Source organism: Homo sapiens, chromosome 13 (genome assembly GCF_000001405.40).
Source record: "Homo sapiens chromosome 13, GRCh38.p14 Primary Assembly".
NCBI classification, from domain to species: Eukaryota; Metazoa; Chordata; class Mammalia; order Primates; family Hominidae; genus Homo; species Homo sapiens.
This window is the reverse complement of record NC_000013.11, coordinates 44,878,718-44,897,445: the sequence shown is the minus strand read 5'-3', so window position 1 is coordinate 44,897,445 and position 18,728 is coordinate 44,878,718. Positions and strand designations below refer to the sequence as shown.

Genomic DNA, 18,728 nt, shown 5'->3' with positions numbered 1-18,728 from the left:
GAGGCAAAAATTGCTCCTGCTTGAGAACCAATGCTTCTTATTTTTTTTTAAATTGGTTTAGTTTATTTTTACCACCAAGAAATTAAAATATATCCTTTTATTGCTTCCCTTCTCCCCTAGAGGATATATGAAAGCTATGCAAGAGAATATGAAAAAAAAAAAAAACAAAAACCCAGAGAAAATGCCTTAAAATTTTGTTTCTCTTCCTATGTCTTTTAAATTGTGTACTGGGTTGAACAGTGTCCCTCCCAAATTCTTGTCCACTCCAATTTGGAAACAGGGTCTTTGCAAATGTAATTAAGATGAGATCATATTGGATTAAAGTGGGCCCTGTATCCAATGACTGGTGTTTTTGAAAGAGGTGGGGACACTCAGAGACAGACACAGAGGAAAGAAGCTCAAGTGAAGACACAGGCAGAGATTGGAGTGACAAATCTACAAGCCAAGGAATGCCAAGGATAGCCAGGAGCCACCGGAAGCTAAGAGGGAAGGAAGGCTCCTCCCCTAGAGGTTTCCCAGGGAGCATGGCGTGTGGCACATGGTGTGTGGCACCAGCCTCCATAACTGTGAGAGAGTACACTCTTGTTTTAAGCCACCCAGTTAACGGTAATTTTTAGTAATTGCAGCCCTAGGAAACTGATACGAATGGTAATTTTATAATTGCTTTTAGTTTTTTATTAACATGTGGGCTTTCTGCTCAGACTCCCTGCTTTTCAGAACTGGTATCCACTTCCAGCCAAAGATTAGCCTTTGCCCCATGCTTCTCTACCACTGGAGTTACTTCAAACACCACCACCTAAATAAAGCTCAGTTCCCACTGCACCAACAAGCCACAGCCGAGAGTTCTGTGCAACAAATGCGTTTCTGAAGTTCCGGAAGCCTGGACATAGCAGTAATTCCAGGACAAGACAGTTGGACAGCCCGCGGGGGTGGGGGTCAGGAGGAATGGCTCCCCAGACTCCTGAACAGAGGATGGTGACCCAATCAGGGAACACGTCTCAACCCAACATTGAAAGGACAAAGGTGAGGCTTTTGGTTAGAGTCCAGAGAAAAATATTGGGAGTCCAGTCCATGGATAATGGGTATAGGAACAAAAGGGAGGAGGAATTGGGGGAACGGGGGAGGGAAATGGGTTGGGAGGGCGGGAGGAAGGAGGATGGGAGGAGAAGCTGGACAGCTGAATCCTTTCAAGGCAAGAGCAAAACTATCTTAATTTACCATAGGCAAAAACAAAAAAGTAAGATTATGCAACATCTTTAATGACAGTGTTTCTGTCACTCACCCTGATAATAGTAATTATGTCTATTATGCAGATATGGTGGTGGGGGTGCTGTCCCGGAGCCACACACCCTGAGGGGATTGATGGGGGAGGTTTAGCGTCCCCACATAGAGCCTGGGAGGTCTGGACGTTCTCATTTATAATCCTACAAATACAGTTTCTTATAAAATAAACTCCCCAAATGAGCCAAAAGGGGTAGACATTTTCTCCTCTTGAAGCTGCATCCTCAATTTATCCTATGTTTGTTTTTCTGACGTTAGAGGGGGCTAGGTGTTTGCCTGGCTTGATCTTTAGCCAAAACAAATGATTCGCACACATGTGTTTGGAGGGGAAAGAAGTGAATGTATTCCTTGTCAAGAGAAAAACTCAGAAATTCATCTAAATCTTAGATGAGGGATGAGGGTGTGGGGTGGAAGTGCCCAATTCCCAGGACAGCCAGAGAGCAAACAGTGCCTGCTGTTGGCGTCAGAAACTTTCACTTCATTCAGAAAACATTTAATCATCACGTAGTGTGTACCAGACACTGCTACAGGGGCTGTGGATATAAAAATAATTATTTAAAGGGGTATATGGTTTAGTAGGAAGATGAATAATTATAAATCATCATTCATTTATTCATCCAACCTTCAGATAGTTGAGTCTCTCCCATGTGCCAGAGTCTGTTCCAAATACTGAGAGTCCAAGGGTAAACAAAGCAGATGAAGGCCACACCCTCTCTGGATGTAATAGAGGAGGTATGGGTCGAGTGGATGGAGGATGCTTCATTCTGCCTGGAGGAGTCAGTGAAGCTTTCTTAGCACATCGCTAAAAGCTTGGAAGGCACAGAGGAGCCACTGCTGACTATTCTTTTAGCTGTGACTTTAGAATTTTTGCAAACTTTTTATATGACTGTTCTCACCATTGTACTTCCTGATAATCCTAAAGTGATCTGGCACTGGAAACACAGCATCTCATCTGTGTTGAGGAGGAAATTTTACTATGATGTTTTTTGTAATCCGTCTTCTCAGCCTACGTGCTTCTGCTATACAGACTCTAAGTCTAGCCACTCTCAAGGTGTCCGTTCTTGGGCTGAGCACAGCGGCTCACACCTGTAATCCCAGCACTTTAGAAGGCCAAGACGGGAGGATCACTTGAGGCCAGGGGTTTGAGATCAGCCTGGGCAATATAGTGAGACCCCCTGCCTCTACAAAATACTTTAAAAAATTAGCTGGGCGTGTTGGCACACACCTGTAGTCCCAGCTATTTGGGAGGCTGAGGTGTGAGGATCACTTGAGCCCAGGAGTTTGCTATGATTCCACCACTGCAGTCCAGCCTGGGTAATAGAGCTGTCCCAAAAATAAATAAATAAATAAAAACCAAAAAAAACCCACACCCCAAGCCAAAACAAAAACCAATGTCCACTTCCCACTGCTTACTCATGATCCCTGAGCTCCACACCCTCTGTCTACCTGCAGGCGGGATGACTCCCAGCCACCTTGCCCAGCCAGGAGCTATGCGACATTCCAAAATCCTCTCCATTGCTTGCAACAGACTCCCTGTTACTGTGACCAGGACAGAAACCTGTGCTTACCTAGCTTGACCTTTGTATTTGCACAGGACTTGAGGAGCCGGGGGAGGAAGTGGGTGGCTTCTCAGATCCACTGGGCCATAGTCCCACATGGAGTTTGTGGCCAGGCAGCAGGAGGTGGGAAGGGACATGGCCTATGGTGGAGGCAGAAAGAGGGGGAGACTCCTTTCTCTGGCTATTCCCCAGGGGTTTGTCCTCGAGTTCTCCAACCTTCTCTACCACAAAGCTTAGATAAGTTTCCGATTCTTAGGCTTTGAGGATCCATTAGAGGATTCAAAACAGAAACGACTGGACAGCAGCTGGCCTAGGGATCAGCGAGAGAGAGGGAGAGCGAGGGAGGGTGCCCACGCTACAAAGTCCTTCCTATCTCCAGAGGTCACTGGCTCCTGGCAGGAGGGACAGGCCTTTCTGCTTCAGGGCTCCCGTTTCTGACTGTGGTGTAGCTGTTTTCTGTCATGGCCTGCAGGCTTCGAGGCAGAAGGCTGGGGGCTGGCCTGTGAGTGCTCTGGGGTGTGAGAGATGCAGTGTCTGTCCCCACGTCTCTTGCTAAATGAAACATGCTCACCTAATACTCAGTGGTCGGCTCCTTCTGTGCCAGGGTTACACCCTAAACCCCATGGGGAGAGACTTCTGAGCCGGCTCTCTGTCCACCCTGTTCCTCGGCAGGGCCTCAAGGCATGCTTCACCTCCTGCCTCCTGTCCAGATCCCTGTCAATCCTGCAACGTAGACATCCGAGGGCCATCACTAATGCACCGGGTGTCCTCCTTCTGCCTGGGCATGCATTTTTAATTAATGTTTATATCAAGACTCAGGTGACACAGCCCTGCCCCCTTCTCTGTCCTCATGGAACTGAAGTCAACTATAAGCTGTTATTTTACTCAGAGAGCTCTCTCCAGCCACCTCCCGGTGAAGCAGCACTTGCTACTTATTTTAAACCTATTCTGAATATTTTAAAGATTTTTTAAATGGTTATGGAGTTAACTTTAGACTAGTGCCTTCATCAAATTGCTGGAAGAATTCTTGTAGATTGATAATTCCAGGCTGCTAGGTGTGATGGCTCCAGGCAATAATCCCAGCACTTTGGGAAGCCAAGGTGGGAGGATTGCTTGAGGCCAGGAGTTTGAGACCAGTGTGAGCAGCATAGTGAGACTTTTTCTCTACAAAAAATACAAAAATTAGCCAGGTGTGGTGGTATGAGCCAGTAGTCCCAGCTACTCAGGAGGCTGAGGCAGGAGGATCACTTGAGCCCAGGAGTTTGAGGCTGCAGTGAGCTTCAATCATACCACTGCACTCCAGCGTAGGCAACAGAGTGAGACCCTGTCTCTATGAGGAAAAAAAATTCCAGACTCCCAATTTTATAGTTGAACAAATGAGATCCAGAGATGTTAAGTCATTTTCTTGAGGTCACACAGCATGTCTGCAGCAGGACCAGAGTGAAAACCCAGGTCCTCTGAGTCCCAGGCATTTGCCCCTTCAGCATGCTATGATGCCTCTTAAGTGATAAATTTAAATCCTGTAATTCTAAATCAATGCATGAAACAAATCTTTAAAATGCCCAGATCTCCAAGAGAAATAGTGAAGTATGGTCATTCATGTGAGGGTGAGCAATAGTTATCATTACTGTCATTAGGTTCCTTTGTTATTTTAGACCTGTAGAGAGATAAAGAGATTTAAGTTCTTAAAGCATAATCCACATAGTTCAGAGAGAAGAATAAGAGAAAGTATAAAATAAAATCTCAAAGAAATGAGAACCTGGAACAGAAACCACAGTCATGGGAGCCTGGATGGGGAATACCACCAAAGGTGGAAATGCAGAGAGGCCCCAGGGTATATTGGAACTGGGCAAGGACCCTGGAGACCAAGACATCGATTTGAATCCCAGTTCGGGCATTTACTAACTGTAATTTTTTTTTTTTTTTGAGACAGGGTCTCACTCCGGTTGCCCAGGCTATTGTGCAGTGGTGCGATCTCGGCTCACTGCAGCCTTGACCTCCTGGGCTCAGCTGACCCTCCTCAGCCTCCTGAGTAGCTGGGGTTACAGGAGTGTGCCACCATGCCTGGCTAATTTTTTGTATTTTTTAGTAGAGATGGGATTTCGCCATGTTGGCCAGGCTGGTCTCGAACTCCTGGGCTCAAGTGATCCACCTACCTCAGCTTCCTAAAGTGCTGGGATTACATGGGTGAGCCACTGCACCCGGCCTACTAACTGTGATTTTGGGGGCAGTTAATTTCTCAGAGCTTCAGTTTCTGCCTTTGTGAAATGAAGGTAACACCTGTACTGGAGTGTCGATGTGATGGTTAAGTGAGAAAGTGCACCTGGGGAGGCCTTGTAAGGCACTCAGTAAGTGGTAGAACTTGTGATCACGTTAAACTTGAATTAGAGGAGAGACCCTGGGGCCACTGAGGCCAGGCCCAAACAAGGATTTGAACAGGCCTGGAGATCTCTGGCTCTGTTATCCAGCCTCTACAAACCCAGTTCTCCTGTCCCGGACTCCAACTGTGTAGGCCCCAGGACTTCAGAGGGACCCGGCTGAGCCTCATGTTTAGAACTTTCTGCTCTCATGCTTTCTACCGTGGTGGTTTTCAGTGGGGGATGGGGCAGCAATTTCTCCTCGCAGGGGATGTTTGCCAATGTCTGGAGACATTTTTGGTTTCACAGCAGCAGTTGAAGGTGGGAGTGGTATTGGCATCCAGTGGGCAGACAGAGATCAGGGATGCTACTAAACATCCTACAACGCACACAGCAACCCCCACAACAAAGAATCAGCCAGCCCCAAATGTCCACAGTGCCGAGGTTGAGACACCCTGTTCTACTACAGCAAACTGTGTTTTTATCCTTTCAGACAAATGCTTAGGTCTATATTGTTAGTGCAAAGCTAAGCTTCACAGAAGGTGGGCGATAGACCCCTGATTTCTTGGGGCTCCTTTATTTGGTTTATATTTTAAAACCTCTGTTGCAACCCGTGGGACCCTGGGCTAGGCCGCTGATTGACCCTTGTAATAGACATCTCTTGTTTTTGCCTACCCGGCTTCCTTTCCCTTTTCCCTCTGATATTAGCAGCCTGCTTTTCCTGAGTGAATGCAAGCCTGCATTCACTGCCCTTTGGTTTGACTGCCCTTTGGTTTGGGTGGAGCTGGCTATTTTTTTTTTTTTTTTTTGAGACGGAGTCTCACCCTGTCACCCAGGCTGGAGTGCAGTGGCAAGATCTCAGCCCACTGCAACCTCCGCCTCCAAGGTTCAAGTGATTCTCCTGCCTCAGCCTCCCGAGTAGCTGGGATTACAGGCGTGTACCACCACGCCCGACTAATTTTTGTATTTTTAATAGAGATGGGGTTTCACCATGTTGATCAGGCTGGTCTTGAACTCCTGACCTTGTGATCCACCCGCCTCGGCCTCCCAAAGTGCTGGGATTACAGGGGTGAGCTACTGTGCCCAGCTGGAGCTGTCTTTCGGTGTAGCAATGTGACCTGCTGTACTCCCTGCCCTTGGTGGCTGGCTCAGCAATGACATGTTAGATCCCATTGAGATGCCATCCCAAGATTTTTGTGAACTGCTGGGGAGAGGATCTCTCTCTGGTCTGGGTGCATGAGGAGGAGAGAACGCATGCCTCAGGAGGCAGCCCTGTGTCTTGCCACAGTGACGGGGGGACCACAGTGACAATGGAGGGCCTTCGAGGACACAGAGCAGAGACTGGGAGAGAAGGGGCCCGATGACATCATGCAGGCCCTTGAACCCAGACATGCCTGTGCTTTTTACTTGTTTGCGCCTGTAAGCCCTCTTCTTTTTGAAAAAAATACCGTAATAGTTTTAATTAAGTTTCTGTCACTCATAATGGAAAGAGCCCCTGATGAAGATAAACCAGGAAGTTGAATATAAAGAGCTTGGAGGAACCAACAGCCATCAGAGAGCTTTTAAAACCTGAGAGTTTCCACAGAACCATATTGATCTGGAAGCATTTTTCTTCTGGGAGGACAATTTGTAGTTTTTTATTTTTATGTTTTGGCTGCCTGACAACTGAACATCTCTCCTATAGGAGTCGTAATGGGACTAGAATTGCTGAAAAAGCTGGCTACGTACCCCCTTCCTGAGCAGGCAAAGCTTGGGTACTTAATCTAGCTATGGCCAGTCGGAGTTTCTGGCCTTGGCTTAGACTCTGGCACAAGAGAGGCAAGGAAGCAAGGATGGGGGGAAATTTGTTCTGATAGCAGTGACAACAGACTCCAGGAGCCATGGTGGTCATGGTGACACATATGACGTCCAGTTCCTGCTGTTAGCTCTGGAGTCTAGTGTCCAGGGTCCTGCAGTGGCCACTGGGGTGACATCGCCAAGTGGTTCCTATGGTATAATAATTTTGGGGCATAAGTCCAACTGCCTAACTTCCCTTCTTCCTGCCTGTTTTCCTGAAGTTGCGTCTGCAGGCTTCCTCTTAATTCTATGGATCATGCAATAGTCTTTCAAGAAATTATCTTCTGCTTAGCTAGTCACTTCCTGTTGCTAGAACCATGAAGAGGCCTGGTGAAAGATGTTCAGTATACTACCTGCATCAGCTGCTACTGCTATGTGACAAGGTAACTCAGTGGCTTAAAACAATAGATATTTATTATTGCTCAATAATTTGGTGGCTCAAAAAGGACAGAATTTTTCCTCTTTCTCAGAAAACAGTATGAAGTAAATGTGCCAGATTGGTAGGTGGGTCTGCTCCAAAGAGTCATTCAAGGATTTAGGCTTCTTCCATTTCACTTTTCCACCATCTCTGAGGGTGTTGCTCTCATCCATGTAGCTGAAGCTCAGGTGCCTTCATGTCAATGTCCAGCCACAGGGAAGGGCACACAAAGGAGACACACCCATGGTCTTGAGGTGGAGGCCAGAGGTAGGTAGCATGTTTTGCTTCTCCTTACATTCCACTGCAAACTGCAAGGGGACTTAGTAATGAGGAGGGGAAGATGGATATTGGTGGACGTTTGACTTTTTTTTTTTTTTTTGAGACAGAGTCTTGCTCTGTCACATAGGCTGGAATGCAGTGGTGCTATCTTGGCTCACTACAACCTCCACCTCCCGGGTTGAAGCAATTCTCCTACCTCAGCCTCCCAAGTAGCTGAGACTACAGGCGTGCACTACCACGCCTGGCTAATTTTTGTATTTTTAGTAGAGACAGGGTTTCACCACGTTAACTAGGCTGGTCTTGAACTCCTGACCTCAGGCAATCTGCCAGCCTCGGCCTCCCAAAGTGCTGGGATTACAGGCATGAGCCACTGCACCTGGCAGACATTTTCTTCTAATAATATAATATCATAATTTGGGAGGAATGAATCAAATGGCAGAAATTTGAAGCACGTGGTAGGTGAGTGAAAGCTTATTTTTCTGATGATGAAGGAAATTCAGTCTTCCAGTGTTTAGTACATAACGTGATATAAGTCAAACCAGAGGTAGGGAGACCTGGGTTTTGGTGTATTTAAATTTTCCATTTCTCTTTGCCTCAATTTCCTAATCTATAAAATGAGGATAGTGATAACTGCCTGATAAGATTGTTGCAAGAATTCAATGAGATAATTTATGTGTCCAGAACAGTTCCTAGTATATATTAGATGCTCAGTAATGATTAAAGTTACTTATAGGGCAGTGTGCTGGAGTATGAACAGAAAAGGTTTTTTGGCCAGGTGCCATGGCTTACACCTGTAATCCCAGCACTTTGGGAGACTATGGTGGGCAGATTGCTTGAGCTAAGGAGTTCAAGACCAGTGTGGGCAACAAAGCCAAACCCCATTTCTACAAAAAAACAAAAAAAATTAGCTGGGTGCGGTGGTGCATGCCTGTAGTCCCAGCTGCTTGGGAGGCTGAGGTGAGAGGACCGCTTAAGCCTGGGAGGCAGAGGTCGCAGTGAGCAGAGATCATGCCACTGCACTTCAGCCTGGGTGACAAAGCCAGGTCTCAGAAAAAAAAAAAAGGAACGGTGTTGTTGTTGTTTTTTTCTTCTGCTACTTACTAACTCTGGGAATTTGGGAAAGCTTTTTAACATCTCCAGGTGTCAGGAACTTCATCTATAAAAGGGACAATAACTTCTGTCTGCCATTTGTGGTTTAAGAACCTATGGGTCTATGGAATTTTTCCATATCTTATTCCACATTTTGAAGATCTAATTTCATCCCATAGCTCACTTGTAGGAAATTTTGGTTCTGCCACTTGCTAGCTATAAAAACTCTGGAGAATTCACTTAACCTTTCTAAATCTACTTTTCCATTTTGGTGAATTGTGACTAATTTCTCCTTTGCAGGACTGTTATAGATATTAACTGGGATCACGTATGTGAAAAAGAACTCAGCAAAGTATTTGGCTCTTAGAAAGAGACTCAAGACATGTTAGATATTCTTATTCTTCTTATTATTAAATGTGAAATTAAAGTCAATTTTCTATTTTGTGTTTTCCCTAAAAGCAAATTTTCCAGAAACACTGACATGGAAACAGGATCTTTCTTCTCCTACTGTTTGTTCCTCGACTACAGTTATAATCCTCTATTTGTGACATCATAATTAGTTGCCACTGGAGAAGACGATCGTGTCACAAAAGGATTAGGACCTAAGGTGAGATGACAGGAGCGACGACCACTTTAAAGTTGCTGCTGCTGCTGTTGCTTTGCATGATTGATGGTATTTTCTCATCCAGCTGCCCTAAAGTGGCAGCTGCTTAAAGAAAGATGGTGATACAAAGGTCTTGCAAAGAGTATAAGATCTGAGTCTGAAGAACTTTCCAGTCTCAGGCCTTTACAAATATTATGCCATAATGAATGTTGATTAGAAACATTAGTATATAAGTATGGAAATAACCATGCAGTGGTGTGATCAGCAATTCATGTATTCGTTCATCTGTGCCCACCCAGAGAGCTGGACTATTAGCAGTCCCTCTGGAGCATTAATCACATCATATGTGAATTGCAGAATCACTTAGGGTGCAGTACTCGAGGCTTATAGATGAACTCAGTTTAAGAGGAAACCTTGGGAATGGTATAAGGATCAAAGGCCTGGGAGTCTGTGTATTCAATTCCAATTCTAGCTCTGCCATTAACTAGCTGTGTCCTTGGACAATTTTTGGAAATTCTCTGTATACTTATTCCTCACTTGTGTAACAAGGGGGCTGGCCTAGACTCATCCATCACTAGATGCCCCTTAGGTCCTTTCTGGTCATGATTTCTGTGCAGCTATGGCTGCCTATTCATATCTCAGCTGAACTGGTTTGTTTAGGTCAAGTGCTCTGCTTATTAGTCTTGGAAACCTTGATTCTAACAATGAAACGAAAATAGTCCTGTGAGAACACCCTGTGCAAAGGAACAACAGGGATTAGAGAGCAGTAAACAAAGCGTTTCCCTACAGGCGGCACATCTGAGCTCAGAGATCATACATGAAGGCTTAGCTACTGGAACAGAGGATAAATAACTTCAACACATATTGATTGAGTGACTGAATTGCTAGGGCATCTGATGATAAAGAACTCAAACCAAAGCCTCTCTCCAGCCCCTGCCCTCAAGTAGCTTGATTATCTAACACACACACACACACACACACACACACACACACACACACACACACACTCTCTCTCTCTCTCTCTCTTTCTCTCACTCACAATAATGAATAGACATGATACTTCCACAAACACTGACTTAGCATGGAAGACACTCACCAGGTCATTCAAGGGCACCAAGGTGGAAAATGTCCCCATCCTCAAGAAACTCAGGTAAGGCAAATACCTAAAAAATGATTTTAAAAAGGTAGAGATGAGAGCAAAAAATAATAATTATTGAAGGTATTATTGCATAATACCTTACTAAAACCTTTTTTTTTTTTTTTGAGATGGAGTCTCACTCTGTTGCCAGGCTGGAGTGCAGTGGCGCGATCTCGGCTCACTGCAACCTCCACCTCCCGGGTTCAAGCGATTCTCCCTCCTCAGCCTCCCGAGTAGCTGGGACTGCAGGTGCCCTCCACCACGCCCAGCTAATTTTTGTATTTTTAGTAGAGATGGGGTTTCACCATTTTGGCCAGGATGGTCTCAATCTCTTGATCTCATGATCCACCCACCTTGGCCTCCCAAAGTGCTGGGATTACAGGTGTGAGCCACCGTGCCTGGCCTAAACACTTTCATATATAGTCTACATACTCTCTCCTGGGTGGCTTTTAGGACATTCCTTATGGTTTTAATCTCCCCTCTCTGGCCATTACTTCTCAATCTCCTTTGAGGGATCCTTGCCTCAGCTTAGCCCTGAAATATGGTCTGCAACTTACCCAAGACTACATTCCTGGTTGGCCTCATGCACACTCATGGCCTCAACTGTCACTTATCCGATGACAATGATTCTTGCTGGAAGGAAGCTCCATGAGGTCAGAAATCTTGCCTATTGTGTTGATCCATTTATCTTCAGCACTTAGCAGAATGTCTTGTCTATAGTCAGCTTTTAAAAGTATTATTGCTGACCAAATCTGTATTTCTATTTTTACTTTTTGAAGAGACAGGGTCTCACTATGTTGCCAGGCTGATCTTGAACTACTGGCCTCAAGCAGTCCTCCTGCCTCAGCCTCCCAAAGTGCTGGGATGACAGGGCATGAGCCACCACACCTAGCTAATTAAAAATTTCTTTTGTAGAGGTGGAGTCTTGCCATGTGGTACAGGCTGGTCTTGAACTATTGGCCTCCAGGTATGAACCACCATACCCAGCCCAGTATGTATATATTTTTATAAGCAGCTTAAAGTGGCCAGGCACGGTGGCTCATGCCTGTAATCCCAGCATTTTGGGAGGCCAAGGTGGGTGGAACACCCGAGGTCAGATGTTTGAGACCAGTCTGGCCAACATGGTGAAACCCCTTCTCTACTAAAAATACAAAAATCACCTGGGTGTGGTGGTACCTGCCTGTAATCCCAGCTGCTCGGGAGGCTGAGGCAGGAGAATTGTTTGAACCCAGGAGGCAGAGGTTGCAGTGAGCCCAAGTTGTGCCACATGGCACTCCAGCCTGGGCAGCAGAGTGAGACTCCATCTCATAAACAAACAAAAAACAGTTTAAAGTACCACCTTATAGGGTGGTAAATAATATATACACACTATGTTATTCTTAAATATTTTGATTACAAGGGAAAGAAAACTCAAACAGGCTTACATAAAAAGGAGGATGTATTGGCTCATGCAGTTGGGCAGCGCTAGGATTATTTTGACTTCAGGCACAGTCAGATATATAGCACAGACATGGTTATTAACTATCTTTCTTTTTTGTTTGTTTGTCTGTTTGTTTGTTTTTGAGACAGAGTCTTACTCTGTCACCATGACTGGAGTACAGTGGTGCGATCTTGGCTCACTGCAGCTTCCACCTCCCAGGCTCAGGCAATCCACCTGCCTCAGCCTCCCAAGTAGCTGGGGTTACAGGTGTGCACCACCACGCTCGACTAATTTTTTGTACTTTTTAATAGAGATGGGGTTTCGCCATGTTGGCCAGGCTGGTCTTGAACTCCCAGTCTCAAGTGATTCATCTGCCTCGGCCTCCCAAGGTGCTGGAATTACAGGCATAAGTCACCGTACCCGGCCCATTAAGTCGTTTTCTTGTTCATTATCTCTTGACTCTGAACTCCTCTGTCAAATTGGAGATCTCACCTTTGCTAGTAATTTCAAATATATAAGCAATCTGACGGCACAGGGGAAACCAGCATGAGGCAGACTGCACTTTCCATGATGGCCCCAGCAAGCTCTCCCATCCCATGTGCCCTTCTCATTGTGTGACACTGTCACCTTTCCCTCAAGAGGTGAGGTCCATGTTGCCTTCGATTGCACCTGGGTGGGCATGTGAACACAACAGAAGTGGCACTAGATGACATTCGGGTCTAGGTCGTAAAAGGTGATATGGCTTCTGCCTGTTCCTCTTGGGATTTGCAGTCTTGGAGTCCAGCCACTATGCTGTGGGGAAGCAAAGAAAGCTGTGGAGAGGCCACGTGGGGAGGAATGCCATCCTTAGCATGGGCTGAGCTCCCAGGCAGCACCCATCTCCAGACATGCGAGTGAACAGGACTTCCGGCAATTCCAGCCCCAGCCACTGAGTCACTTCCAGTTTCTCAGTGTTTCCAGGGGAGGCCTCAGACACTATGGAGCAAAGAAAATCTGACCCAGCTGTGCCCTGTCCAAATTCCTGACCCATAGAGAATACAAGAGAGAATAAAACGATGTTGTTTAAACCATTAAATTTTGAAGAAATTTGTTACACAGCAATAGATAACTGAATACAGAGAGAGCTGTGAGATATCCCATGTGGTTCCCCAGGTCCTTCTTTCCTGTATGAGACATACTTTCTGGCTGAGAGCAATAAGATGAGGTCTCTAAGTAATGTTTGTGTTCATCTTACACAGCAAGGAGTGTTTATATTATGAGACATCTCCATTTTCTTCCAAGATTGTTGCTGAGCTTATGTGCCATTTTCAATTTTTATGTGCCTCATTTATCCATCGATTCTACATTTGTTTACCATAAGCAGTTCTAGGCCAAGGAAATCTTGCTAACAACATTCCATAAATAAGGACTTTTCTTCTTGAAACTATTTATCAAGAGGTCAGTTATCAGCATATTTACAAATAAATTAGACCAGGTCATTTGTCCTCTTTCCCTACAAATCCCCCTAGTGATTGAGAGGAAAATGGATCATAGGCCAGATGTTTGAACCCGCTCCACCTCCTCTCCTCCTTCATTCCATTTTCAGCAATCTCCACTGATGGAGGCAAGATGGCTGCCATGGGCACCAGTCCCACAATCTATCTCTTAGTAGACCACTGAGGAAAGAGGATGCCTCTCTCTCATTCTTCCAGAAAAGGCCCCAGTGTAGCTCTGATGGCTCTGATTGACCTTTAGAACTGGTTCTACTTAATCAGTTCTACTTAAACTACATGGATTAAGAAAAATTAGGATGTTATAAGAAGGGAGAATAAATGTTGGATTTGAAAAAATAAAATTAATAGCTGACAGATATATGTATATATAGGTGGGTATATATACATATATAGGTGTGTGTGTATCTATATCTATATCTATATGTGTCTTCCTTCTTAGGAGGCACTTCAGTCTATTCTCCATCTTGTTGCTAGAAAGAGATTTCTTTCTTTCTTTTTTTTTTTTTTGGGACAAAGTCTTGCTCTGTTGCCCAGGCTGGAGTGCAGTGGCACGATCTCAGCTCCCTGCAACCTCTGCCTCCCAGGTTCAAGCGATTCTCCTTCCTCAGCCTCCCAAGTAGCTGGGACTACAGGTGTGCGCCACCATGCCTGGCTAATTTTTTTGTATTTTTAGTAGAGATGGGGTTTCACCATATTGGCCAGGCTGGTCTCAAACTCCTGACGTGGTGATCCGCCTGCCTCAGCCTCCCAAAGTGCTGGGATTACAGGTGTGAGCCACCGTGCCCGACCTAGAAAGAGATTTCTAAAATGCAAGACTAAATGTTCTGTACATCAGCATCTCTGTGATAGAGAGCATATCTTGTTCATTGTAAAGTCAGAGTAATACTAGTGATGTAACAAATAATCCCACATATTTCAGTAGCTTAGCACAGCGGAAATCCATTTCTCAATCACATAATAGGCCCATGCAGATATTCTGGGTTGGTGGGTGATTTTCCCTTCCTTGGTGATCTGGGGACTCTGGCTCCTACTCTGTGGCTTTTCCATGCCTTGCTGCTTTGGAGTCCTCTGTATCCAGCCAGTGGATAAGGGAAGAGGGGGTAGGGCAGCCACACTTCTTAACACTTATTCTCAGGAATGACACACATCACTTTTACTCACTTACCTTTGTTGAGAAATGGCCACGTGGCCCCATCTAATGCAAGGAGGATGGGAGATGTAGTTCCTGGTCTGGAAGCCAGCTCCCAGGGACAACTTTATTAAAAGGGGAGATAAAATTTGGTGATCAGTAAGCTGTCCCTGATGTATTCAGCTCCTAACTCAGTGTCTGGCACCAAGGGGATGTTTGGGAAGTCTGTGGAGTTAATGAGTTTGTCTGAGCCTTAGGTAACCATAAAGTACCAGGGCAAGTGAAAAGATTTAGTATATGAGAAAGTGTTTGGCAAATACCAGATGAGGTCCCTGGAGTGGGCATGAAAGGCTGAGCAGGAATTGCACTTTAGCTGATCGTGAAGGAAAGAGAGTATTTGTGGGTATGGCAGGTGGTCCCAGGATCGCAGTGAAATGTCTCTTCTGCTGCCTCCATCTCCTGGCAAAGCTCCCTGTCCTATGTCGTGTGCTAGGGAGAAGCGTCCTCCTTTCAGAGGCCTCTGGGGGAAAGTGAAATTTAATTGTAGTTCTTTGAAACATTTCTGGGATTAGATAAAAGATGGGGAAAAGATCATTTCAGCACCCTCAAGGGTTTCTAGTCATGCAAGGGGTAAAGTCTTGAATATGCTTTTAATGGAAACTGTCCCTTTTTAAGAGAAGTCTACCTGAATGGGCTGTTTAATTGAGAGGCTATGGCTGGAAGCAGTCATTGCTGCCCTGTTTAAGGATTCAAAGACTGTCTTCATGGTAGGCAGAGGTATATCTTTGCAGCCAATGTTTCCTTTGGGAAACGGCTTCTTTCTGCCTGTGGACTCACACTGTGGCTTGTCTGCAAACACTGCTGTGGTTCTTGTGGAGCTGTGTATATTAGGTCCAACTTCGCTGTTTGCTGGAAGGAGGAGCAGAGACCCCAAGCGCATAGGAAGAGCAGGCTGGCATCACCTTGGCCTCGTGCTGGAGAAGGGACCACACAGACTTGGTCTGGGCTCAGCAAATCTCAACTCTTTAAGATGGAATAACCTAGAGTTTAAGACATATCAAAAGTGTAAACATAGTTGCTGACCCGGGTAGTTTTATGGAGGGAGGTATTCCTTCGAGAGAATTCATCTAGCTATACCTTATGATTTGTGCAATTTTCTATATGAATGTTATGTATCAATAAAACATTTGAAAATGAAAAGGCAAGGAGCTGTCCATTCTTTGGGTAATTTGGGAGATAGAGCTACATCCCCATTCCCTCGCCCCCCACACTGCATGGGTATAGCCTCCCCTGATACAGCTCCTGGGCATGGGGTGGAACACTTCCACCGAAGGGTATGGACTTGCACATTGTCATCTCTGGGAAGTTCTGAGACTGGAAAGAGGAGCTTGCTAAGCAGGCCTTTTATGGGGTGAGAGGAAATTCTCCCTCTCTCTAAACCTCATGGCCCTGGGCCCTGGGAAATTTTGGTAATACGAATTGGTGGCTTTGACTTGGGTAGAAAAGGATCTTGTAGATGAATGCTCATTAATCCTTTAAAAAATGGATGCTTATTTGATAAACATAAAATATAAACATTCCATTTAAGTGGAAGGAGTGGTCTGAACCAATAACCAGAGACTGGAAGACTGAGGTGTGCCGGGAACTGAGTGTAGGCTGGCTTAGCTGCATTGAAGCTTGGTGTGGACTCTTGGAGCTACATCTCTAGAAAGGGCATGTTGCTGTGCTCTCCCGTTCCCATTCTCAGCCCCGTTGTATTGTAATCATCTATTTGTCAGTATCTTCCTCTAGACACTAAGTTTGCAGAGGGCAGGCACTAAGGCTTTGTGTTGTCTTAATTTTATTTTTAAAATCAGATGGGGTTTCACCATATTGCCCAGGCTGGTCTTGAACTCCTGAGCTCAAGCGATCCTCCCATCTCAGCCTCCCAAAGGGCTGGGATTAGAGGCATGAGCCACTGTGCCCGGTTGACACTCAGTCTTTGACTTTCAGCACAGCTCTTGGGCTTAGGAAGTGCTCAGTGAGTGTCTGTTAAACAAATGCCTGCCTCTTTATGTGCACCTATCTCGGGACGTGTGTTCCCTTCTAAGCAATTTTCCCCTAGAGGCTCAGCTCCCTATCCCCAAGCCCAGTGTGAGGCCTGGCACAAATTCAGAGCTGTGTAGACACCTGGCGGGGGTGGGGGGGGGGGCAATAAGGTCCTTAACTAACTGAAAGCAAGAAAAAAAAGCTACGATTCTTTTTTCTCTCTCTTTCTTTCTTTCTTTTTCTTCCTCTTTTTTTTTTTTTTAGACAGAGTCTCACTCTGTCACTCAGGCTCAAGTGCAGTGGCACGATCTCGGCTCACTGCAACCTCTGCCTCCCAGGTTCAAGAGATTTTCCTGCCTTAGCCTCCTGAGTAGCTGAGATTACAGGTGCAAGCCACCATGCCTGGCTAATTTTTGTATTTTTAGTAGAGACAGGGTTTCACTATGTTGGCCAGGCTGGTCTTGAACTCCTGGGCTCAAGTGATCCACCTGCATCAGCCTCCCAAAGTGCTGGGATTGCTGTGGGCGTGAGCCACTGTGTCCGGCCTTGATTGTTAAGTACTCAAAAAGCAAAGTAGCATGGATCCTCTTTGTGTCAAGGAATAGGGTATGTCTGCTTATGAAAAGTTAAGCACTCGGGACTATTTTCATAAAAGTATGAAGTCATTCACAAGCATCACCTTGAGGATGAAACACTGAGTCTGACAGTGGGGCAAAGAATACCAGATTCTCTTTTAGGATGAATTCATTTCCCTTCTTCCAGAACTGACCCACTCCTGATGGGGCCTGAACAAAGATGGAAAAATGTGATGCTAATTTTACTACCCAATTTTATTTCTGTTTCAGCCCATTTTCCTGTTGCCAAGTTTCCTATTTGCCCACAAGGGGGGAGAAGTTGATGATATATTTAAAGGTTTAGAATCCTTTCGGTGTATCACACCATCCTAATTTTCCCCTGAGAAACCTGATGCTCCCGGAGGTACACAGAGTTTGGCGGCATAATAATCACAACAACTTCTATTTGTGGAGGATTTATGGGGAGCTGGAGCTGGACAATGGGCTGGCTAAACATTACATTCAATGATGTCATTTGATAGCACAACTTCCCATTTTACAGAGGAAGACACTGAGGCTCAAGCAAGTTTAGGAATCTTGCAGAAGGTCACGAAGCCAGTAGGTGGCAGACCTGGTACTTGAACATGGGCTGACTGCAGACTTGTGACACCTCTTTTCTAACTGCCTTCCTGGAGGAGAGAGGGTTGGATTATGATTCTGCTGGGTTCCAAAGTGGTGGAGGATGTGGATTATGAACCAGAGCGTAGAACATTTTCAGAAGACCACAAAGGCCTGTGAAGTCCCATTTACTGCTCAGACTTAGTACGTGCTTGGTGTCACTTGGGTCTCTGGGAGAGTCTGGCTTTTTCACATTATACTGGCTGCCACCAAGACACAGGTCTAGATGTCCCAGTGCAGAGTTGCAAACAGTTGCTATAGTCCTGTTCTTCTAATGCTTCCCAGGATGGTGCTTCAGATCCTCTTGCCCTCACCTGCCTCTTGTCTCAGCTGCTGTGGCACATGGGCTCCAGTTGACATCACACAGGTACAACAGTGCCTTGCCTATGTGCACACTGGTCACCTCCCGGCTCAGGGCAGAGACCTGCCTGGTGCCCATACATGTGCAAGCTGGAAGTGTTGGGGAGTTAATGCCCTCTGGGGTGAATCTTTGCCCAGTGAAGGCAAGAGATGATGGTCAATTCTTCCCTTCCCTGCATTCCCATGGACAGACTTTAGATGCCATTCACATGATTTCTCTGTGAGAAGCACCTGGGGTTTAATGAGTGTTAAATATATTTTGAATGAGTGCCCACAGATGTAGCCATCATTGGCACCTGGTGGCAGGCAGCTCAGTAACTGGCCCTCCTGAGTTGGTTCTCTTTCCTTCTCTGCTTCCTTCCCTTTCTCCCTTGGCCCTGCTCCCTGGGATTATACTCCCTAACAAAATAGGGACGTCTGAAGAATCCTATATTCATTCATGGTCTTCTGAGATAGCCAGCACACCTGGCATCAACAGGTGCTTTGAGTGAAGAGTGAGACACAC

At 45.7% G+C, this 18,728-nt stretch overlaps 1 long non-coding RNA gene across 3 annotated transcripts in view; it reads left to right on the top strand.

Annotated features, from left to right (window-relative positions):
• Window positions 1-645: 645 nt before the first annotated feature.
• Window positions 646-18,728, top strand: part of LOC105370187 (uncharacterized) — a 55,982-nt gene continuing 37,899 nt past the window's right edge. The window contains exons 1-5 of one of the 3 annotated variants that reach the window (XR_941932.3): window positions 646-1,023; window positions 7,255-7,416; window positions 7,504-7,718; window positions 9,279-9,426; window positions 12,753-13,056. This is a non-coding gene — a long non-coding RNA (uncharacterized LOC105370187). Of the gene's footprint in view, window positions 1,024-7,254; window positions 7,417-7,503; window positions 7,719-9,278; window positions 9,427-12,752; window positions 13,057-18,728 lie in introns of those variants that run through there. The other 2 variants (XR_941931.3, XR_941934.4) reach the window with 2 other exon arrangements.